Source organism: Homo sapiens, chromosome 13 (assembly GCF_000001405.40).
Source record: "Homo sapiens chromosome 13, GRCh38.p14 Primary Assembly".
NCBI lineage: Eukaryota > Metazoa > Chordata > Mammalia > Primates > Hominidae > Homo > Homo sapiens.
Window position 1 is genome coordinate 52,455,423 of NC_000013.11, and position 21,992 is coordinate 52,477,414.

Here is a 21,992-nt window from a genome sequence, read left to right on the forward strand (position 1 = left end):
GCAGGAACCAATGGGCGGAGACGGCAGCCGCGCCGTCTGACGGCTTAGCCGCGGTGCAGACTGCGGCGGCGGTGGTCTGAGGAAGTTCTATCTTGGCGCTAAAGCGGAGACGCATCCCCCGACCCGAGGCTACGATGAGCACACCGGCCGTGCCCCAGGACCTGCAGCTGCCCCCGAGTCAGAGGGCGCAGTCCGCATTCAAAGGTGAAGGCCGCGGTGGCGGTGGCGGTGGCGGTGGCGGTGGCGGTGGCGGGCGCGGGCCCGGCGGTCGGGGCTCGGGGCCGCGCTGGCGCGCTTCACCTCTCCCCCGCTCTGTGAGATCCCTGAACGCGGCGTCGGCCTCGCCCTGCCTCATTCTTGGCCTTGTGGAACGGATCATAAAAACAGGAACCGCTGCGTGGTGTTACTGTGCGGTCGCTGCTGGCTGGGATGGGCCCTCCTAAGAAGGAATCCGTTAGGCGAGGGGAAACGCGCGGGCCTCAGGCCGGGGTCGGTGTCGGAGACCCTGGGTCCGCTTGGGGGCGGGGCTGCACAGGTTCAGGGACCGACTGCGCCTGCGCTGGGTCCTCCGCCTCTTAGGTCCCTAGCGAATTTCTGCAGGGCTGGGGTCGCATCATGTGTTATTTCCAATTTCACAGCTTCTCCTTCGACTTTATGGAAACCGAGGGTTGGTTGGGTCTTCAAAACTAATATTGTTATTCCCTTATTCTACACACGGGAAAGCAGAAGAAAGTAATTCTCATCTAACCCAGTTCTGGTAAATTAGAACTTTCGAGTCTAGTGCCTCACTTCTACCATTTAGTTTCTTAAAGCTTGGCTAGCAGGAGCTGTATGTAGAAAATGATGTTCTCCAGATTTTTCACAGGGAGTAGAGAATGTGATTCTTATGCAGAGGGGTTTTGGGGACCTGTTGTGGTAACAGTCTCTTCTAAGGTGATTTCTCAAAGGCAATATTGAATTGGAGAATTTTCTGTTATATAGATGTGACCTCAGGTGGAACCAGCTTTGGAAGTAAACTCTTCATTTAGTCAACAAGATTTATTTGCCGTTATCGATGTTTTAACTAATATTGACTTGTAGCTCTTACCTTTGTTATCTAGAGCAAAGAAGACAAAAACTCAAGGAACATCTGTTGAGAAGAAAAACGCTTTTTGCATACAAGCAGGAAAATGAGATGTTATCCAGGTAAGGTCAAGTTTATTTCTTTTCACTTCTGTAAAATTGTATCAGATCTGTCCAATGAAAATGTAAAGTAAGCCATATCTGTAATTTTAAATTTTCTAGTAGCCACATTTAGAAAAACTGCTTACATATTATTTTACGTCTTTTTGTGGTACAACGTCTTTAAAATCTGGTGTCTATTTTACAGTTACAGGACATTTCCATTTGGTCTATCCACATTTCAAGCACTCAGTAGCCACATTGGCTAGTGGCTACTTTATTGGATGGTGCAGCATTAGATCATCGTTTTATTAATTTTTTTTTTTTTGAGACAGAGTCTCACTCTGTTGCCAGGTTGGAGTGCAGTAGCGTGATCTTGGCTCACTGCAGCCTCCACCTTCTGGGTTCAAGTGAATCTCCTGCCTCAGCTTCCCAAATACCTGGGACTGACTACAGGCAAGTGCCACCATTCCCTGCTAATTTTTGTATTTTAAACAGAGACCGGGTTTCACTATGTTGGCCGGGCTGGTCTTGGACTCCTGACCTTGAGATCCGCCCACCTCAGCCTCTGAAAGTGCTGTGATTACAAGGATGAGCCACCGCGCCCGGCCTAGATTATCGTTTTCTACGTAAATTAATTCACAGTCTAAGAGAAAAAAACAATTATAAAGCAAAGTATGTGCATAGACTAGATTATCAACTTACTGTTTACACCACACAAAGGTCAGTCTTTCTATTATTTAGCAAAGCTTTTTACTCAGTGTATGGGGGAGTTCATCAGGGAAGGGTTGGGTGGCCCTCCCAAATGCTTAGAGATTACTAGTTGTAGTCTCAACCCTCCACAGAAATATCTTTATTATTTTGTTAAAATATCTTAGATAGTACATAGCTGTAGCAAAAACAAAAACCCATGAAAGTAGATGAAGCAGAAAGGCAAAAGGTCCCCTCACTCTCTAGGGATAACCAGTAATAACATCCTTACAGGCTTAGGCTGGGTGCTGTGGCTTACACCTGTAATCCCAGCACTTTAGGAGGCTGAGGTGGGCAGATCACGAGGTCAGGAGATCAAGACCAGCCTGGCTAACACAGTGAAACCCCGTCTCTACTAAAAATACAAAAAATTAGCCAGGCATGGTGGTGGGTGCTTGTAATCCCAGCTACTGGGGAGGCTGAGGCAGGAGAATCGCTTGAACCTGGGAGATGGAGGTTGCAGTGAGCCGAGATCGTGCCATTGCACTCCAGCCTGGGTGACAGAGCGAGACTCCGTCTCAAAAAAAAAAAAAATTGTCTCAGGTAAACAAAATTGTATATACCACCCACACACATATTCAGAGAGTGGAAATGATAACGCAAATGGGATAAAAATTTTAACAATAGGTGGATCCTGGGTAAAGAGTGTACAGATATTCTTTGACCTGTTTATATTTTTGCAACTTTGTGTAAGTTTGGCATTCTAAAATTTTAAAAATAATTTCTAACTTTATATTAATAAGTTGCTTTAGTTTGGAATAAACAGTTTATCCTTCACAAATAAATCTTTTATTTCTTTGTTTAAGACAAAAAGGTGATCCTAGGTTTTTTATTTGAATAAGTAAATGAATGGTGATAACCGTATACTGAAATAGGAAGCCTGAAGGAGGAGCTGGGGAATTAGGAGTTCTGTTTTGACTATGTTTGAGGTACCAACCAGACATCCAAGCAGATATGCCAAATAATTGTGTGTCTGAAGTTCAGGGGAGGGGTTGGGGCTGGAAGCATAAACTCAGGAATTGATTAGTATACAGATGATATTTACTTAAAAACCTTAGGATGGAATGAAATTACTAGGGAATAAGTAGAGATAATATGGATTCAGACAGTGACTCTCAACCACTTATTTAAATAAAGAATCCAACAAGGTCAGGGGTTTATAATACTCTTAATAGGAAGAAAAGAAAATTCTAAAACGCTTCATGTGGCTTAAGTACTACATTTATTCCTTTCAGAAAACAGATGTTGGCTGGGTGCAGTGGCTCATGCCTGTAATCCCAGCACTTTGGGAGGCTGAGGCGGGTGTATCACTTGAGGTCAAGAGTTCTAGACCAGCCTGGCCAACATGGTGAAACCCCGTCTCTACTAAAAATATAAAAATTAGCCGGGTGTGGTGTCAGGCGCCTGTAATTCCGGGGAGGGCCGAGGCAGAAGAATCGCTTGAACCTGGGAGGCGGAGGTTGCAGTGAGCCAAGATCAGGCCATCGCACTCCAGCCTGGGTGACAAGAGCGAGACTTTGTCTCAAAAAAAAAAAAAAGGAAAACAGATGTCAATTTAAATGTTATCACCTCAGCAGTGAATCATTAAATAAGACAACCAACCTGTGTTGCAGCTTTTCAGAATTAAACAGTTATATTTTACAATCTCTAAAGTATAGATATCCTAAGACTCATTTCCGATAACCCTTCTGAGGGCAGTTTTATAATAAGACAGAATAGGATTAAGTCTCCCCACTGGACAGGTGAGTAAGATGGGTTCTTCTTGTCATCCTGAGTTTTGTTTTGTTAGCTGGCAGTTAGCTACTAAGATACCCTGTTAAGTGGCACATTTTGATCTTCCTTCACCATTGTTCAAAATGTATAGTACAGGTTGTGTCAAAGTTCTGTTCCTTCTCCAAGCTGACAGAACAAATAGATATGAAAGGCAATGTAAGCAAAATTATTAACTACTAAATTATGTCAAATGTAAAATATATATATATATATTTTGTTTTGTTTTGTTTTTTTGAGACGGAGCCTTGCTCTGTCGCCTAGGCTATAGTGCAGTGGCGCGATCTCAGCTCACTGCAACCTCTGCCTCGTGGGTTCAAGCGATTCTCCTGCCTCAGCCTCCAGGGTAGCTGGGATTACAAGCATTTGCCACCATGCCTGGCCAATATTTTTGATTTTAGTAGAGACAGGGTTTCGCCGTGTTGGCCAGGCTGGTCTCAAACTCCTGACCTGAGGTGATCTGCCCACCTTCTCTACCCAGAGTGCTAGGATTACAGGTGTGACCCACTGTTCCTGGCCTCATTTTTTTTTTCAGAGAATGAGAGATCACGCATTTTAATGTGATCTCTGAACTTAGGATCTGTCTTAAAATCAATGGCATGTCTAATTGACCGTATTTTTTCCTATCGTTATAGTACACAAAATTGTTAAAATCACTTGCTAAGAGATGCTCACAGTCTGCCTTAGCCAGTTTATAGCTGTAAAAATAAGTTAAGTCAGTTTCTTGAGGAGGGATTTTCTTTGCAATACCGCCTAGAAACTAACGTTCTTTTTTTTGAGAGATGATCTCATTCTGTGTCACTCAGCCTCTAGTGCAGTGACGGGATCTTGGCCCACTGCCTCAACTCCCAGGCTCAAGCAGTCCTCCACCCCAGCCTCCCAAGTAGCTGGGACTATGGCACCCACCACCACACCCAACTAATTTTTTATTTTTTTGTAGAGATGGGGTTTTGCCGTGTTGCCCAGGCTGCTCTCGAACTCCTGAGCTCAAGTAATCCCCCCACCTCGGCCTCCCAAAGTGCTGCTATTACAGGCATGAGCCACCACAACCAGCAGTGCATATTCTTAATGTATCCTAATATAAATTAAGCTGTGAATGGCATATGGTAATTTTTGGATCACTTCTGGGAGGGCTCTTTAATAAAAGTATTTTCAATGTAGTACATCTGTTACTAAGTACTTAAAACTAACCCAAGGAGGTATTACTTACTAAAGGTTATTTGAAGACTTGTTTGAATGACTTGAGAATGATTTGAAATAAGATTATTAAGTATTTACAAATTCTATGGGCAGAGAGTGTTAGGACTTTTAGAAAATATCTTTAAATTCCTCAGCCATTTGTTTACACTATTTTTTTTTGAGACAGAGTCTCTCTCTGTCACCCAGGCTGGAGTGCAGTGGCTCGATCTTGGCTCACTGCGAACTCCGCCTCCCGGGTTCATGCCATTCTCCTTCCTCAGCCTCCCTAGTAGCTGGGACTACAGGACTACAAGCGCCCGCCACCATGCCCGGCTAATTTTTTGTATTTTTAGTAGAGACGGGGTTTCACTGTGTTAGTCAGGATGGTCTCGATCTCCTGACCTCGTGATCTGCCCACCTCGGCCTCCCAAAGTGCTGGGATTACAGGCATGAGCCACCGCGCCTGGCCGCTTAGGACAAATTTCAACTCAGGTCTTTTTTAAATTTAAAATTAGTAAGTCAGTTAATTGTTAACATTGCCCTCTTCTTCCTCCCCAAAAGGAAGCCTCCTTGGTACAGGATTGATTGATCATTTTGTTTGTTTGTTTTTAAGTAGTAGAGATCAGAGAGTTGTGACATCTGAGGACCAAGTTCAAGAAGGGACTAAAGTGCTGAAACTTAAAACAAAAATGGTAAGATGTGGACATAGCACTCTTAAACTGTCCCCTTTTCCATTTTGCCTTTCCTAAACACTTTTCTTAAATAATTCTTTCAGGCTGATAAAGAAAACATGAAGAGACCTGCAGAGAGCAAAAATAATACAGTGGTGGGGAAACATTGTATTCCTTTAAAACCTTCAAATGAACTAACCAATTCAACTGTAGTAATTGACACACATAAACCTAAGGATAGTAATCAAACTCCGCATTTGTTACTAACTGAAGATGATCCCCAAAGTCAACATATGACATTAAGCCAGGCATTTCACCTTAAAAACAATAGTAAAAAGAAACAAATGACTACAGAAAAACAAAAGCAAGATGCTAACATGCCCAAGAAACCTGTGCTTGGATCTTATCGTGGCCAGATTGTTCAGTCTAAGATTAATTCATTTAGAAAACCTCTACAAGTCAAAGATGAGAGTTCTGCAGCAACAAAGAAACTTTCAGCCACTATACCTAAAGCCACAAAACCTCAGCCTGTAAACACCAGCAGTGTAACAGTGAAAAGTAATAGATCCTCCAATATGACTGCCACTACTAAATTTGTGAGCACTACATCTCAGAACACACAACTTGTGCGACCTCCTATTAGAAGTCATCACAGTAATACCCGGGACACTGTGAAACAAGGCATCAGTAGAACTTCTGCCAATGTTACAATCCGGAAAGGGCCTCATGAAAAAGAACTATTACAATCAAAAACAGCTTTATCTAGTGTCAAAACCAGTTCTTCTCAAGGTATAATAAGAAATAAGACTCTATCAAGATCCATAGCATCTGAAGTTATAGCCAGGCCTGCTTCATTGTCTAATGATAAACTGATGGAAAAGTCAGAGCCCGTTGACCAGCGAAGACATACTGCAGGAAAAGCAATTGTTGATAGTAGATCAGCTCAGCCCAAAGAAACCTCGGAAGAGAGAAAGTAAGTAGATATAATTTTCTTTATTACATTAGTTTTCAATAAAGTACTGTTTGTAGATTTGGATTATAATTTCCTTGACTGCATTAGAATTTTCTTTCATGGTTTCTCTTCTGTCATATGCAGGCAAATTTATATTGTGGAACAATATGACCTAAAAGTTTTTGTGTTTGAGTATGTTTTATAAGGTTGCTTTTTAAAATCTAAGGTAAATGCTTAATAATAATTGGGAAATACTTTATAATCTCAAATCAAAAAATGCATTCATGGAATCATTGAGCATAATTGACGTTGATATGTTTAATATTTCTTCAAGCTTGTGAACTATATATGCCATTAAAGTAAGATTACTTAAAAATATGATTTTTTCTTTTAACTTTATTTGACAGAGTTCTGTCAGCAATTTCAAAGTAACGTTTATATCTGCTTCTAACTATAGAGCTCGTCTGAGTGAGTGGAAAGCTGGCAAAGGAAGAGTGCTAAAAAGGCCCCCTAATTCAGTAGTTACTCAGCATGAGCCTGCAGGACAAAATGAAAAACCAGTTGGGTCTTTTTGGACTACCATGGCAGAAGAAGATGAACAAAGATTATTTACTGAAAAAGTAAACAACACATTTTCTGAATGCCTGAACTTGATTAATGAGGTAGAGTCTTTATATTTGCTTAGCATTTTATAGTTTGCAAATTACCTTCATAAGCATTATTTCATTAAATTATATTGTCAGTCTTTTTGACCAGGTGATGTTGGTGATACTATGTTGACTTAACATTAACTGTGAGGTTATTTTAACAATTATTTAATTGCGAGATACACTGCTTCATTCATTAATTGTGAGCTTATTAGCCTTTAACTGACTACATTTTGCATTGAGTTCATATAAATATACAGGTTGAGTATCCCTTATCCAAAATGCTTGGGACCAGAAGTAATTGAAGATGTTTTTTGTTGGATTTTGGAATATTTGCATATACATAATGAGTTATCTTGGGGATGAGATCCACAAAGTTCATTTACGTTTTGTTTGTTTGTTTGCTTTTGAGACAGTCACTCTCACCCAAGCTGGAGTGCAGTGGTGTGATCTCAGCTCACTGTAACCTCTGCCTCCTGGGTTGAAGCCCTTCTCCTGCCTCAGCCTCCAGAGTAGCTGGGATTACAAGTGTGCACCACACGCCTGGCTAATTTTTTGTATTTTTAGTAGAGACAGGGTTTCACCATGTTGGTCAGGCTGGTCTCAAACTCCTGACCTCATGTGATCCACCCACCTCGGCCTCCCAAAGTGCTGGGATTACAGGTGTGAGCCACTGCGCTCGGCCTCATTCATGTTTTATATACAGCTTATACACGTAGCCTAAAGATAGAATACTTTTTATAGTTTTGTGCATGAAGCAAAGTTTGTATACATTGAACCATTAGAAAGCAAAGGTGTCACTTTGTCAGCCACCCATGGGACAGTCTGGTTGTTTGGCAACACCATCATTCCTCACTCTGAATTTCCATGCTACCAATAAGCAATTATTCTCTTACATTTATTCACACATAATTAATTAACAGTTTAAAAAAAGACACATTAATACAGTGAAAAATATGTTCAGAGTAATTAAGCAGCACAGTAGCATCATCAGAACGCCTGTATCAGCTGTTAGACAATAGCAACAACAAACAGCAGCACGTTTTCAATCTCCATCTATGATGTTGTGTTTAATTAAGAGGTATTTTACACCGTGTTTTATTTTTTTAGGTGAGAAGAAACACCAGAAGCAGTTGAGGGACCAGGAAGTGGGTTCTCTAGGGATAAGGAGGCATTCTGCTGGGTGGCTTTTTAAGATATTTACTTCAGAGTCATCTGCCTCATTAGCAATGGTTTTTGTCTTAGAAGTTTCTCTTTGATTTTATAAAGGGACATGATTTCTTTTTCTGTTCTGGATAAATGCTGCTCTAGTTCTTCAGTAAGCCTGTTGCATACTTTCACCTTGTCGCCTGTAGGTACATTTTCTGCAGTGTTAATGATGGTCATCTGCATTGTGATGTTGATACTCAAAAGTTTTGGATTTCAGATTTTGGATTTTCAGATTAGGGATACTCAACCTGTATCAAAGGGATAATTGGGTTTTTTTACTGAATTACAAATATTTGATTTCTCTGAGCTAATTAATATGTAATACACTGAGGTGATATTTACTTACTGCTTCTAATATTTTGTTTCTTACATCTATTCATTATATTTACACATTATTTTTTACGTTCATTACACATTTTACCAAAGACTAGCAACACAAATACTGTGTGAGTCATTATTATCACAGATTAAGTTACCTAAAATACTCAAAAAAAAAATCCCATTCATCTGGTCAGGTGGGGTGGCTCACGCCTGTAATCCCAGCACTTTGGGAGGCCAAGGCGGGCGGATCACCCAAGGTCAGGAGTTTGAGACCAGCCTGGCCAACATGGTAAAACTCTGTCTCTACTAAAAATACAAAAATTAGCTGGGCATGGAGGCGGGTGCCTGTAATCTCAGCTACTCAGAAGGCTGAGGCTGGAGAATCGCTTGAACCTGGGAGGCAGAGGTTGCAGTGAGCCGAGATTGTGCCGTTGCACTCCAGCCTGGGCAACAAGAGCAAAACTCCGTCTCAAAAAAAAAAAAAAAAAAAAACAATCCCATTCATCTAAGCCAACATCATCATGTTTTTGAATTTATTGCAGAATTTTGCTATTTGGACCAAAATCCTATGGAGTATAATAATCAGCTCCAGAACAATATTCTGTTTAATAATAGATAATATCTTTGTTTCCTGACTGCTCTTTAATCTTGTTTTGGTCACCCACTAGTGTGTAAGATCCACAGCAAAACTGAATTCAAGGTATGATTTCAAACTTTACTCTTCATGAGCATCTTTTAACTTCTTGTGGTTCTGAACACCAGTAAAAGTTACAATCAGGAAAACTCTTGAGTCTCTAATAGAATAGAATTAGAGTTTATTTCTGCTCAGTTTAAGTTTTTCCTTTTGATACTATGAACTTTTTCTGCCCTATTATTTAATTATATGTAACTGTGACATAAACCATTACAGATTCATTTTAATCTTAATATCAAAACCTGATAAAGACGAGGAAAAAAAACTCCGCAGACTATTCTTACTCATAAACATTTGGTAGAAGGTATTAACAAATGGAATCCCACAATATATATGAGGATAAAATCAAGATCAAATAAGTGTTCATTTTTTACTAATAAATTTCTCAACTAATGTTTCATTTTTTTGCTTTATGCTTAGGGCTATCGTTATCATTGATCTTGACTATAGTAGGCTCAATTATTGTTCCCACTTTGTAAGCTAAAAAATATTACACACATTTTTTCTTGCTTTTTTAGGGATGTCCAAAAGAAGATATACTGGTCACACTGAATGACCTGATTAAAAATATTCCAGATGCCAAAAAGCTTGTTAAGTATTGGATATGTCTTGCACTTATTGAACCAATCACAAGTCCTATTGAAAATATTATTGCAATCTATGAGAAAGCCATTCTGGCAGGGGCTCAGGTAAGATAAAAATTTACTGATCTTTACAATTACAGTGTAGTAGACAATTCGGAATTAATTTGAAACACATCACAACATAACTTGAGAAAATTTTCTTTGTATATGTAGTGGTAATAAATGTTTAAAGGCTGCAAGGATTGCATTATAAAAGCTGTTTGTTGGCTTTCTAAGTCTTTTATTCCTGTATTGGGAATAATCAGATTTTAGAAAATGGATATAAGCTGAAATGTATATTTAATGAAACTTTCTGCATGAAATGTTTTAGCATATTATTGTATGCATTTCCTGGTTGGAAGTTTACTGGGAGACTGAATGTAATATTAAAATTTGTTTATTGAATATAAAGCAAAAGGGATTAAATTCGCTTTTTAAATGTTATCAAGCTCTCTTGGTTTTGTGTGAGAACTCTTTAAGAGTAAACCCGAATGTACTCATATATGTATATATATACACACATATATATACACACATATATATACACATATATATGCACACATATATACACACATATATGCACACATATATGCACACATATATATACACACATACACATATATACACATATACACATATATACACACACACATATATATATAATATGTATACACTGTATATATTGGTCCTTTCTGCATACAGAAAATGGCAATAAACCGGTTTCTCTAACATTATTACCTCTATAGTGCCTCGATACCATACTCCTTATCTCTTCTAGCGTATTGATACACAAAGTTTTGGGTATAGAATAAATCATTTCTTGAGTTTTTTGTTTGGTTGGGTTTTTGTTTTTATGGATACATGTTCTTCAAATATGTTTCCTTTTGACCAGGTTTCTCAGAAACACATTCTTGGAGATTGTTTACATAGATAATTTTTTAAAACTCCCTTTTAAGAAAGATCTATTCACCTTTGTCTCAACAAAATCAACGAACGCTATTTGACTTTTCACTTAAATAAAAAATCAGATATTCAGCAGATAGTCTGTCAGTGGCTGTCATGTGTAAAACTTTCTAGAATGGTAATTATATTTGACAGAATGCTACCTGGAGGGGAGTGTTAGGCCCCTACTACATTGTATCAGAAGGGACATTACTTAAGGCAGCTAAGGACATTGTAGCAAGGATGCAAAACTGGAGCCAAGGCTCACATAGAAAGCAATAATGTAAACAGCAAGATGTAACACCAGAGGAAAAGCTGCTGGAAAACAAGAATCAAAATTAGCCAACATGGCTGGGCACAGTAGTGGATACCTATAGTCTCAACTACTTGGGAGGCCAAGGTGGGAGGATTGCCTGAGCCCAGGAGTTTGAGTCCAGCCTGGGCAACATAGACCCCATCTCTTAAAATTAGTGGCCAGGCATGATGGTTCACGGCTGTAATCCCAACACGTTGGGAAGCCGAGGCGGGAGGATCGTTTGAGTCCAAGAGTTCAAGACCAGCCTGGGCAAGAGGGTGAGACCCCCCATCTCTGCAAAAAATAAAATTTTTAAAGTTTTTTTTTTGGTGGTAGACAGTTGTGGTCACAGCTATACGGGAAGCTGAAGTGGGAGAATTGCTTGAGCTCTGGGGTTCAAGACTAGTGAGCCATGATTATGCCACTGAACTCCATCCTGAGTCAACAGAGCAACACCCTGTCTCAAAAAAAAAAAAAAAAAAAATTAGCCAAGAAAACTGAAAGCAGGATAGCTGAGTAATTCAGGACTCAGTTCTGGAACTAAGACTGTGAATTACACCTTCCCTAATCTTGATTGTGTTGGGTGGAACATAGCAAATGCTTAGGTAAATAATGGTCACTTAGTAATTTTTTGTAAATTTTTGAATGAATGAAGTATGTTGAGATGATCAACCTTAGCTCTTCAGAGATACATTTCATAGCATATGAAACAAAAATATAACCATAGACTTAAATGTAAGAGAAAAGGAGCAAGACTTAAGTAAAATTATGGAGGAAGTTTTAAAATATGAAATTCTAGGCCAGGCGTGGTGGCTCACACCTGTAATCCCAGCACTTTGGGAGGCCGGCAAATCATGAGGTCAGGAGTTCAAGCAAGCCTGGCCAGCATGGTGAAACTCTGCCTCTACTAAAAATACAAAAAATTAGCTGGGCATGGTGGTGCCCACCCGTAATCCCAGCTACTCGAGAGGCTGAGGCAAGAGAATCATTTGAACCTGGGAGGCTGAGGTTACAATGAGCCGAGATCGCACCACTGCATTCCATCCTGGCAATAGAGGGAGACTGTCTCAAAAAAAGAAAAAAGAAAAAAAAGGAAAAGAAATTCTATCCTTCATTTTTACTCTATAAATTGGAAAAGACAGCCATTTTTCGTTTTTGGTTTTTTTGTTTTTGTTTTTGTTTTTTTTTTTTGAGATGGAGTCTCACTCTCTCGCCCAGGCTAGAGTGCAGTGGCATGATCTCGGCTCACTGCAAGCTCCGCTTCCTGGGTTCACGCCATTCTCCTGCCTCAGCCTCCCGAGTAACTGGGACTACAGGCGCCTGCCACCACGCCCGGCTCATTTTTTTGTGTTTTTAGTAGAGACGGGGTTTCACCGTGTTAGCCAGGATGGTCTTGATCTCCTGACCTCGTGATCTGCCCGTCTAGGCCTCCCAAAGTGCTGGGATTACAGGCGTGAGCCATCGTGCCCAGCCAAGACAGCCATTTTTCAATCTTAATTGTAAGTGGTCTGAGAAGCATGGTTTAAGAGCCACTCTTACTTTAAAATACAGTATGAAAATTTAATCGCGACTTGGATACCTAGTTAATGTCAGAGAAAATAAAACTTACATGGATCTGCTTTCTTCATTAAAAAAATTAAGCCTATTGAAGAGATGCGACACACGATTGTAGATATTCTAACAATGAAGAGTCAAGAAAAAGCTAATTTAGGTAAGTTTTAGTTATTTTATTTCCTTCATGTGAACTGTAGTTTTTTTTTGTTGTTGTTTTTTAACTTTTATTTTAAGATCAGGAGTACGTGTGCAGGATGTGCAGGTTTGTTACAAAGGTAAATGTGTGTCATGGGGGTTTGTTGTACAGATTATTTTATCACCCAGGTATTAAGCCTAGTATCCATTATTTTTCCTGATCCTCTCCCTCCTCCAACCCATGTGCCCCAGTGTGTGTTGTTCTTTAGCTGTCCATGTGTTCTCATCACTTAACTCCCACATGCAGTATTTAGTTTTCTGTTCCTGTGTTTGCGAAGGATAATGGCCTCCAGCTCCATCCATGTTCCTGCAAAGGACATGATCTCATTCCTTTTTATAGCTGCATAGTATTCCATGGTGTATATGTACATTTTCTTTATCCAGTCTATCATTGATGGGCATCTGGATTGATTCTATGTCTTTGCTATTGTGACTAGTGCTGCAATAAACATATGCGTGCATGGATCTTTATAATAGAATGATTTATATTCCTTTGGGTATATACCCAGTAATGGGATTACTGGATTGAAAGTATTTCTGTCTCTAGGTCTTTGAGGAATCGCCACACTGTCTTCCACAATGGTTGAACTAATTTATACTCCCACCAACAATGTAAACGCATTCCTTTTTCTCCACAACCCTGCCAGCATCTGCTATTTCTTTGGCCTTTTAAGGATAGCCATTCTGACTGGTGTGAGATGGTATTTCATTGTGAATTGTAGTTTTATTGTTTCTTTGCTGAATTAGTTTTTCTTTTATCTTTTTAAATTTTTAAAATATGTAGGTTTCTTTCCTCATACTTCTGTTGACCTGCCTCTGAGATAAAGTGGCTTTATGTAGTATAAAGAATTTTTAATTAGGAGATCTGGCTCAATATTTAGATTTGTCACTGAATGTCTGTGAAAGTTGCATTGTCTCTCTAGGCTTTGTCTGCCTTAAAATGAGGCAGTTTGACTAGATATCCAGACTTTTCACCTGTTAAATTCTGTGATCTGTTGTGTTGGCTAGAAAAGCTCATTTAAGAATTCTCTTTGCTGGGGATAGTAGATGGAGATAAGAGATTCATTAGTTGCCAGTCATAAAAACATTTTAAGATTCAGATAAAGTTTATGCCAGTTGATATGATTTTAGGCAAAAAATACCCTCTTATCTGTAAAATACAGATTTTTTGGGACCATTGAATGAAATAATATTTATTTATTTATTTATTTATTTTTTTTTTGAGACGGAGTCTCGCTCTGTCGCCCAGGCCAGACTGCGGACTGCAGTGGCGCAATCTCGGCTCACTGCAAGCTCCGCCTCCCGGGTTCACGCCATTCTCCTGCCTCAGCCTCCCGAGTAGCTGGGACTACAGGCGCCCGCCACCGCGCCCGGCTAATTTTTTGTATTTTTAGTAGAGACGGGGTTTCACCTTGTTAGCCAGGATGGTCTCGATCTCCTGACCTCATGATCCACCCGCCTCGGCCTTCCAAAGTGCTGGGATTACAGGCGTGAGCCACCGTGAAATAATATTTATAAAGTATCATAGTCTATGACACATAGTAAAGTCATTAAACTGTAGTCATTAATATTAATTAACTTTAGAAAAATGGTTTTCAATTATTTGCTGTAACTGTATATTATACAGTCAACAAATATTTGAGTGCATATTATATACCATCGCCTATATATCTAGTTATTTTCTTTTGATTAATTTTAACAAGAGTCAAACAGTTTGAACTTTTTCTTTTTTTTTTTTTTGAAAGAGTCTTGCTCTGTTGCCCAGGCTGGAGTTCAGTGGCGCAATCTCGGCTCACTGCAACCTCCGCCTCCTGGGTTCAAGCGATTCTCCCGCCTCAGCCTCCTGAGTAGCTGGGATTACAGGCATGCGCCACCTTGCCCGGCTAATTTTGTATTTTTAGTAGAGATGGGGTTTTGCCATGTTAGGCAGGCTGGTCTTGAACTCCTGACCTCAGGTGATCCGCCCACCTTGGCCTTCCAAAGTGCTGGGATGACAGGTGTGAGCCACCGCACCCGGCCAACAGTTTGAACTTTTAAAGTCTCCTGATACATGCTGCCAGATTGCTTTCCAGAACAGTATTAGTACCTTTTTAGTATGCAAAATTAATTTAAGATGTAGAGATCTAGGTTGAAGGGCTAAACCTTAAAAAAAAATCAAAGAGCATACTAAAGTTCTAAATTAAGTATGTTATGTAAGCTTTTGATTACATGTATTAACTGAAAAAAAAAACTTGTTCATTGGGGTTAATATGCTAATGGCTGTGTTGGAGGTCATGCTTCTAATGGCAGCATGCTTAGTTCATCATGGATTATTTCAATTTATGGTGACTGCTAATATGTACCAAGGGAACATACAGAACATCTATATGATCTGATCTTACTAGTAGTATTTAGTGAAGGAGCTTGAGAAGGAGGGAGAGAAGGGAAAACCGAGGAAAGATTAGTGTACCACAAACAAAAGGAGGAGAAAAGTTTAAGAATAACCCAGTCCTGGCCGGGCATGGTGGCTCACGCCTGTAATCCCAGCACTTTGGGAGGCCTAGGCGGGTGGATCACGAAGTCAAGAGATCGAGACCATCCTGGCCAACATGGTGAAACCCCGTCTCCACTAAAAATACAAAAATTAGCTGGGCATGGTAGCATGTGCCTGTAATCCCAGCTACTCGGGGGGCTGAGGCAGGAGAATCTCTTGAACCCGGGAAGTGGAGGTTGCAGTGAGCCAAGATCGCACCACTGCACTCCAGCCTGGTGACAGAGTGAGACTCCGTGTCAAAAAGAAAAATAAAAAAAAAGAATAACCCAGTCCTGTCTCTTATTCACAAAAGACAGCGACGTGGAAATTCAAATTTCATAAAAAGATCTCTCATAATTCTATTTCTGGAGATATGTGGAAAGATAAAAGCAGTATTCTGATTAAGTTGCTCTTCCTATCTTATAGGATAGTACTAGTTGGTGTTTTCTAGCAGGTATCATTAGTCTTTAGATGGGGGAAGGAGGTATCCATAAACTCTTGGCTTTCTGAAATGTATAATTGTAAGTTCTGGATATAAAACCAATTTCACAAATCAGTTATTTGTGAACAGCAAAAGAACATAAGTGGTCGAAGTAGTTCAGAAGAGGGTTAAAAAAAAAAAAAGGACAAATAATAAGAAACAAGCACCACGTGGGTGTTTCATAGCTACCTGAAACACAAATAGCCAAACTTGAACACATAATTTTCCCCTAAACCTGATTATTCTTTTAGTTCTCTGTCTTAATGAATGGCCTTGTTTGGTTGTCCAGGTCAGAATCTTGGTGTGATTGTTTACTCCTTCTTTCTTTCCCAGTTCCCAACCTTTTTTCCCCAGCTAATCAAATTCAGTTTAACTTCCTAAGTATTTCTTAAGATCTATCTACTTCACTCCATTCCTACTCTCCTTTGTATAGTCAAGATGACCTACACGCTTACCTAGACTATAACAGTGGTCTTCAAACTTAAGTTTCCTGCCTCTCTGCTCTTCATTCCAATCCATTCTCAACACTGCAACCAAAATGTTCTGTCACTCATCTGCATAAATTCCTGAGTCCAGCCTCTTCTCTTTCCCTCTCCCCTACATCCCTGAATTTCTCTTTCTTTTTTTCCATTTCCTGAAAGGTTTTTACTCTCTTTTCCCTCCAGGTCTCTCCAAGACAATCTTCTACTTTTTCTTAATTTCTGCTTATCCTTTAGACTTCAATTCAAATGTTAGTTCCTTGGAGTAGCCTTCCCTGATGATTTCCCTGATATACCATCCCCTCTCCTCTCAACCTAGGTTTAGTGCACCTGTTTTGTGCTCCCTGTTTTTTTCCCTATGCAATATTTGATGCATTTGATTGTACTATGTAGTTGTTTGTCCTGTCTTTTGCATATGTAAACTCAGTAGATAAGGACAGTGTCTGATGTTCCTGACCATTGAGTCTCCTGTGCTAATGCAATGCCTGACACATATTTGGCACTTAAATATTTGTTGAATTAATCTATATTCTTTTCTCTCCTTCAGCTTCCACTTAAAACTCAGTCACTATCATGCAACTAAAACTTCTCTTAGTAAAAATTTTTAATAATTTTCCTAATAATTAAATTCAGAGGTTTTTTTTTCCAGCTCAATGGATTCACCAGGATGTCTCACAAGTATTTCCAGCCTAACATGTTTTATTTTGAACTCTTTGTCTGCCCTCACTGCTTTCCCATGCCCAGTATCCCTTTCCCATACCCAACATCCCTTTCTCCCAAAAAAGAAAAGAAAAAACTCTTCTCTGGCATTTATGACTCTTAAGAAATGTTGGATAAGACGCTCCTAATACATTTGCACACTCATTCCTACACAGTCATGTATTCATTTGTTAATAAGTTCTGACTTGGGTGGGTGTGGTGGCTCACGCCTATAATCCCAACACCAGAAGTCCAAGGTGGAAGAATCGCTTGAGGTCTAGAATTCGAGACCATCCTTGGCAACATAGTGAGACCCCATCTCTACAAAAAGTAAAAATTAGCTGGGTATGGTGGTACACACCTTTAGGCCCAGCTACTTGGGAGGCTTTGGCAGGAGGATCACTTGAACCTGGGAAGTTGAGGCTGCAGTGAGCTAAGATTATGCCACTGCACTCCATCCTAGGTGACAGAACGGCAGACACCCTGTCTCTAAAAAAAAAAAAAAAATGTTCTCAGAAATATTTCTCAGATTGGACCCTTCCTTTCCTATCTGATCTCTTCCTAACTTACTTAGGCTATTACAACAACCTTGTCTTCTTGCCATCACAGATTGTTACTTTTCATTCTCTGCCATTCTAGACAGTCCTTTACATTGACCAAATTTAATTATGTCTGTCTCTGGTGAATTTTTTTTACCAAACTTCTTTCATATAAAGCTCATTACAATCTAGCTCTCTGGTGAATTTTTTTTACCAAACTTCTTTCATATAAAGCTCATTACAATCTAGCTCTTGTTTACCTATCTAAGCTCAATACCTCCTGCTCCCACTCCTAACCTTGTTCCTTACCCTATATTCTAAACACACTGGCTCTTTAATGTTATGTTAATTTAATAGATCATTTTCTTTTATGTGCCATATGAAGGTTGTCTTCCTTGGTCTTGATCAAGTACTCATTTTTAAGACCCAGCCTAAATCTCGCTTGTGAAGCATTCCCTAACCATCTCCCTATACCACAGGCAAAGTTAGTTGTTTCTTTTTGTGGGTTTTAATAATCCTTTGTTCTTATTTCATATATAGCATTTATTTCATTTTATAATAGTATTTGTTATATAGTTGGCAGCAGTATTTGCTGAGGAAAAGGAATGGTTCAGAGATGGCAATCGTGTTCTTTTATTTTGAAAATGTGGCCAACTAGGAACAACTTTAATGTCTTCTGATTTTGTTCTTAAAATTCAGCCAAAAGCTTAATCTATAAATGTATTTTCTATAGGAGAAAATATGGAGAAGTCTTGTGCAAGCAAGGAAGAAGTCAAAGAAGTCAGTATTGAAGATACAGGTGTTGATGTAGATCCAGAAAAACTGGAAATGGAGAGTAAACTTCATAGAAATTTGCTATTTCAAGATTGTGAAAAAGAGCAAGACAACAAAACAAAAGATCCAACCCATGATGTTAAAACCCCCAATACAGAAACGAGGACAAGTTGCTTAATTAAATATAATGTGTCTACTACGCCATACTTGCAAAGGTAAACTTTTAAAATGTACCATGATTTGTTTTCATGCTTGGAGATAATAAATAACGGCATTTAAAAATCTTTGAGATAGCTTCAGATTACAGCTACCATTTATTAATATAGAAATTTCAGTACGGGCATGGTGGCTCACGCCTGTAATTTCAGCACTTTGGGAGGCCGAAGCAGACAGATCACTTGAGCCCAGGAGTTCAAGACTATCCTGGGCAACATGGCAAAACCCCATCTCTACAAAAAATAAAAAAAATTTTGGCTGGGCAAGGTGCTGTGTGCCTGTAGTCCCAGCTACCTGGGAGGCTGAGGTGAGAGGATCACTTGAGCCCAGGAGGCAGAGGTTGCAGTGAGCCAAGATCATGCCACTGTCCTCCAGCCTGGATGACAGAGCGAGACCCTGTCTCAAAACAAAAAAGAAAACAGAAAAGTTTTTAAACAAATAGAATGTCATTAGAACATTTCACCTCTTAAATACTGTATTTACTTTCCCTAACTATTGCCATTTTGAAAAAGAAAACTTTTATTTGAATTTACTTTAATCTGTGTGTTATTAATAACAGTAGGTTTTGGCTTTCAGGAATTAGCCAGTTCTACAGATACTCAGGTATCTACTGTATACAAGTTGTAATGACAAATTGAGAAAAGGATAAGTTTCTCACTTCGGTGAGCTTATAGTACCTCTCTAAAAGACAATTAAATGCTTTTACCTGCTTATAACATACAAGCTATATAGTATGGTACATATCATGAAAGTACAGAGTAAAAATGTTAACATGTTTTTGAACTCTGGAATATTGTTTTAATTTTCAGTGTGAAAAAAAAGGTGCAGTTTGATGGAACAAATTCCGCATTTAAAGAGCTGAAGTTTTTAACACCAGTGAGACGTTCTCGACGTCTTCAAGAGAAAACTTCTAAATTGCCAGATATGTTAAAAGATCATTATCCTTGTGTGTCTTCATTGGAACAGCTAACGGAGTTGGGAAGAGAAACTGATGCTTTTGTATGCCGCCCTAATGCAGCACTGTGCCGGGTGTACTATGAGGCTGATACAACATAAGAGAAATAAAGCTCTGTTAGGGAATGGGGTTTTTATTATTTGTGGGGTGTTTTGTTTTGAGTAGCTTTATATTGCTCTTAGGTCTGGAGTTGGCCATGTACCTATGTATCCTAAGCATTCACGGCAGTGAGCTCCTTTACTAACATTCATGTTATGGCAAGAGTTGTCCTCTACATTGGAAAGCTAATCCTACCTTGTCAGTTTCAACCAACTGAGTTTTTTCTTTAAGAAAGGTAAATTTTGTCAGCTAGTTTACTATGTTCCTTGAATATAAACAGGTTATAATACTACCCTGTTCACTTTACTAAATATAAGTACAGTAATGATGCATAATTAGAAAATGAGGTATTCTAGGTAAAATGTATGTTTGCCTTGACATGTTTTTAAAAGTTATGATGTACCTCCCTGCCTTTAAACAGAATACTTTTTTCTTTTTTTTGGCCTTTCTCAGATTAGTCAAAAATTCTATAGAATGACTCACTTCGAATACTAAGACACAGGAGGTTTAGCCTGCTTTCTTACCAAATTCATGTTACCCAGACTTGTGTTCTCTTGCGTCCCTTGGACTGCCTGTTGATTGATGGAAAGTGTCTGCACTGACACTTTTCGTCAGTAGTCTGTAGTTTCGTGGCCTCTTTTGATTATAACTGGGGTCACCAAGAAGGTTTACTTAATTAAATACCGCATTTCTAAGAGAAGATACTTTGTGTAAGAAAAGATGCCACATTTAGTGGTTTAACTTTTGTAACTTCACTTGATAGTTTTTAAGCAATTAGAATGGAGTTAGGGAAAGAACATATCATACTGAACAAATGTCATTCTAGTTTAGATAGCATTTCTAAGATAACTGATACTAATACTTGTTTTCTTCCCTATAACATAAAAAACTTCACTGTTAAGTCATGTCCCTTGAAACATGATAGTTACATACACAGTTTTCTCTCCACACATAAATAACACCACTAAAGTTGTTTTGTAAGGTTCCAAACTAATATGGCATATATCAACTCTACAGTTTCAAATAAATGACTTTTTAATTGTAAAAGATTAGTTGAAAAACTGTATGAATGTGAAGATCACATGCTTAGTCATTTTTATGTTCATTCCACTTTGTATATCTTTTCTATTTATTGACTTCTCATGTTCTAGAGAGTAGGACTTTTATTCCGTGTACCTGATATATATACAATTAAAATATCTGTGTAATTATGTTTTAATGAAGTTTATTTCAACAGATATTTTATGAAATGCAGTTTAACCACAGTGAATGAATTTTAGCTTTGCTTTTGAAATACATTGTAAGATTTGACTTGAGGTTTTTGACACTTAAGTACATGCTTAATGATATATTTTCAAAAGTCATCAGTCTACTTACATAAACTTTACCTAATTTTTTTCACTTTAACAAAAACATAACTATGCCCTTGTTTTTTCATACTTTGACCCAAAATATGCCATTTTGAAATAAAATTTAAGCTTTGATACACTCTCAGCTTTTTAATATCTGTACCATATAATTCATTTGTCTGTATAGCAGAGTTTGAAATGCCTCTGTTAGAGAACTCAAGATACAACTTTTATGTTTGGACAAGTTTTTAAGAGTGTTTTTTTTCCTCCTTTACCTGAGGGGAAAATCTGTCTCTAAATATTCCTAGTTCTAACATTCAACCAGAGGTCTAACCCCTTTTCTGGTGCTTAAGGACAGCTATGTTATCTCTCCCCTAGGTTTGTTCCAAGCTAAATGATGTGATACCGTGCATAAGCATCCAGTAGAGACATAACAGGGACCCCTCTTAAGGGCCCGCTTGGATCTTCCCGTGTATAGTAATAAAGGAAAAATCTTGAGTCTCTTCAAGGGAAATTCCAGGTAGCTACCTAGCTAGCCTCAAAAAAGTAAATTGAACATCCTGGAATAAGGAAAAAAATGTTTCGTTTCCTATAGTAATGAAAGAACATCTTGACGCTGAATTTTTTGGAAACCCAGATCCATACCAGATAAAAATGCCAACCACTGTCAAGTGGACCTCAGGTAAGGGGAAACAGGACTGAACTCTAAACCACCATTCTTGTCCGTCTCGGCCTCCCGAAGTGCTGGGATTACAGGCGTGAGCCACCGCACCCGGCCACAGGACTGTTGGTAACACTAAATGAGACAGTGTAAGTAAAGGGCCCCATGAGTGGCCCACCATCCTCTGAGCTTCCAATGCTATGTGGCCAACATTTTGTTTATTCCTAGATTCAACTTCCCTTTGCATTGTGACATTAGCTTTTTT

The 21,992-nt window shown here is 39.0% G+C and overlaps 1 protein-coding gene across 6 annotated transcripts; it reads left to right on the plus strand.

Moving 5' to 3' along the window:
- The first annotated feature begins 55 nt into the window (after positions 1-55).
- On the plus strand, positions 56-21,205 carry CKAP2 (cytoskeleton associated protein 2). Of its 6 annotated transcripts, none has more exons than NM_001098525.3 (9): positions 56-204; positions 1,101-1,185; positions 5,474-5,552; positions 5,636-6,504; positions 6,941-7,145; positions 9,873-10,043; positions 12,856-12,925; positions 18,407-18,662; positions 19,473-21,205. In NM_001098525.3, the coding sequence occupies exons 1-9, from the start codon at positions 135-137 to the stop codon at positions 19,717-19,719; spliced, it is 2,052 nt and encodes a 683-aa protein (NP_001091995.1). In that variant the 5' UTR covers positions 56-134; the 3' UTR covers positions 19,720-21,205. The 6 variants fall into 6 exon arrangements, with proteins under 6 accessions (NP_001091995.1, NP_060674.3, NP_001273616.1 ...); NM_018204.5 differs by having other exon boundaries at positions 5,477-5,552; XM_005266344.5 differs by lacking the exon at positions 56-204 and adding an exon at positions 566-757.
- Positions 21,206-21,992: the final 787 nt, after the last annotated feature.

Excerpts from the sequence above, each read along its gene's own strand:
- CKAP2 (NM_001098525.3), top strand. The coding sequence starts at position 135 with ATGAGCACACCGGCCGTGCCCCAGGACCTGCAGCTGCCCCCGAGTCAG. Across the intron at positions 6,505-6,940 it reads GAAACCTCGGAAGAGAGAAA|AGCTCGTCTGAGTGAGTGGA; the intron begins GTAAGTAGATAT and ends TTCTAACTATAG. Across the intron at positions 18,663-19,472 it reads ACTACGCCATACTTGCAAAG|TGTGAAAAAAAAGGTGCAGT; the intron begins GTAAACTTTTAA and ends TTTAATTTTCAG.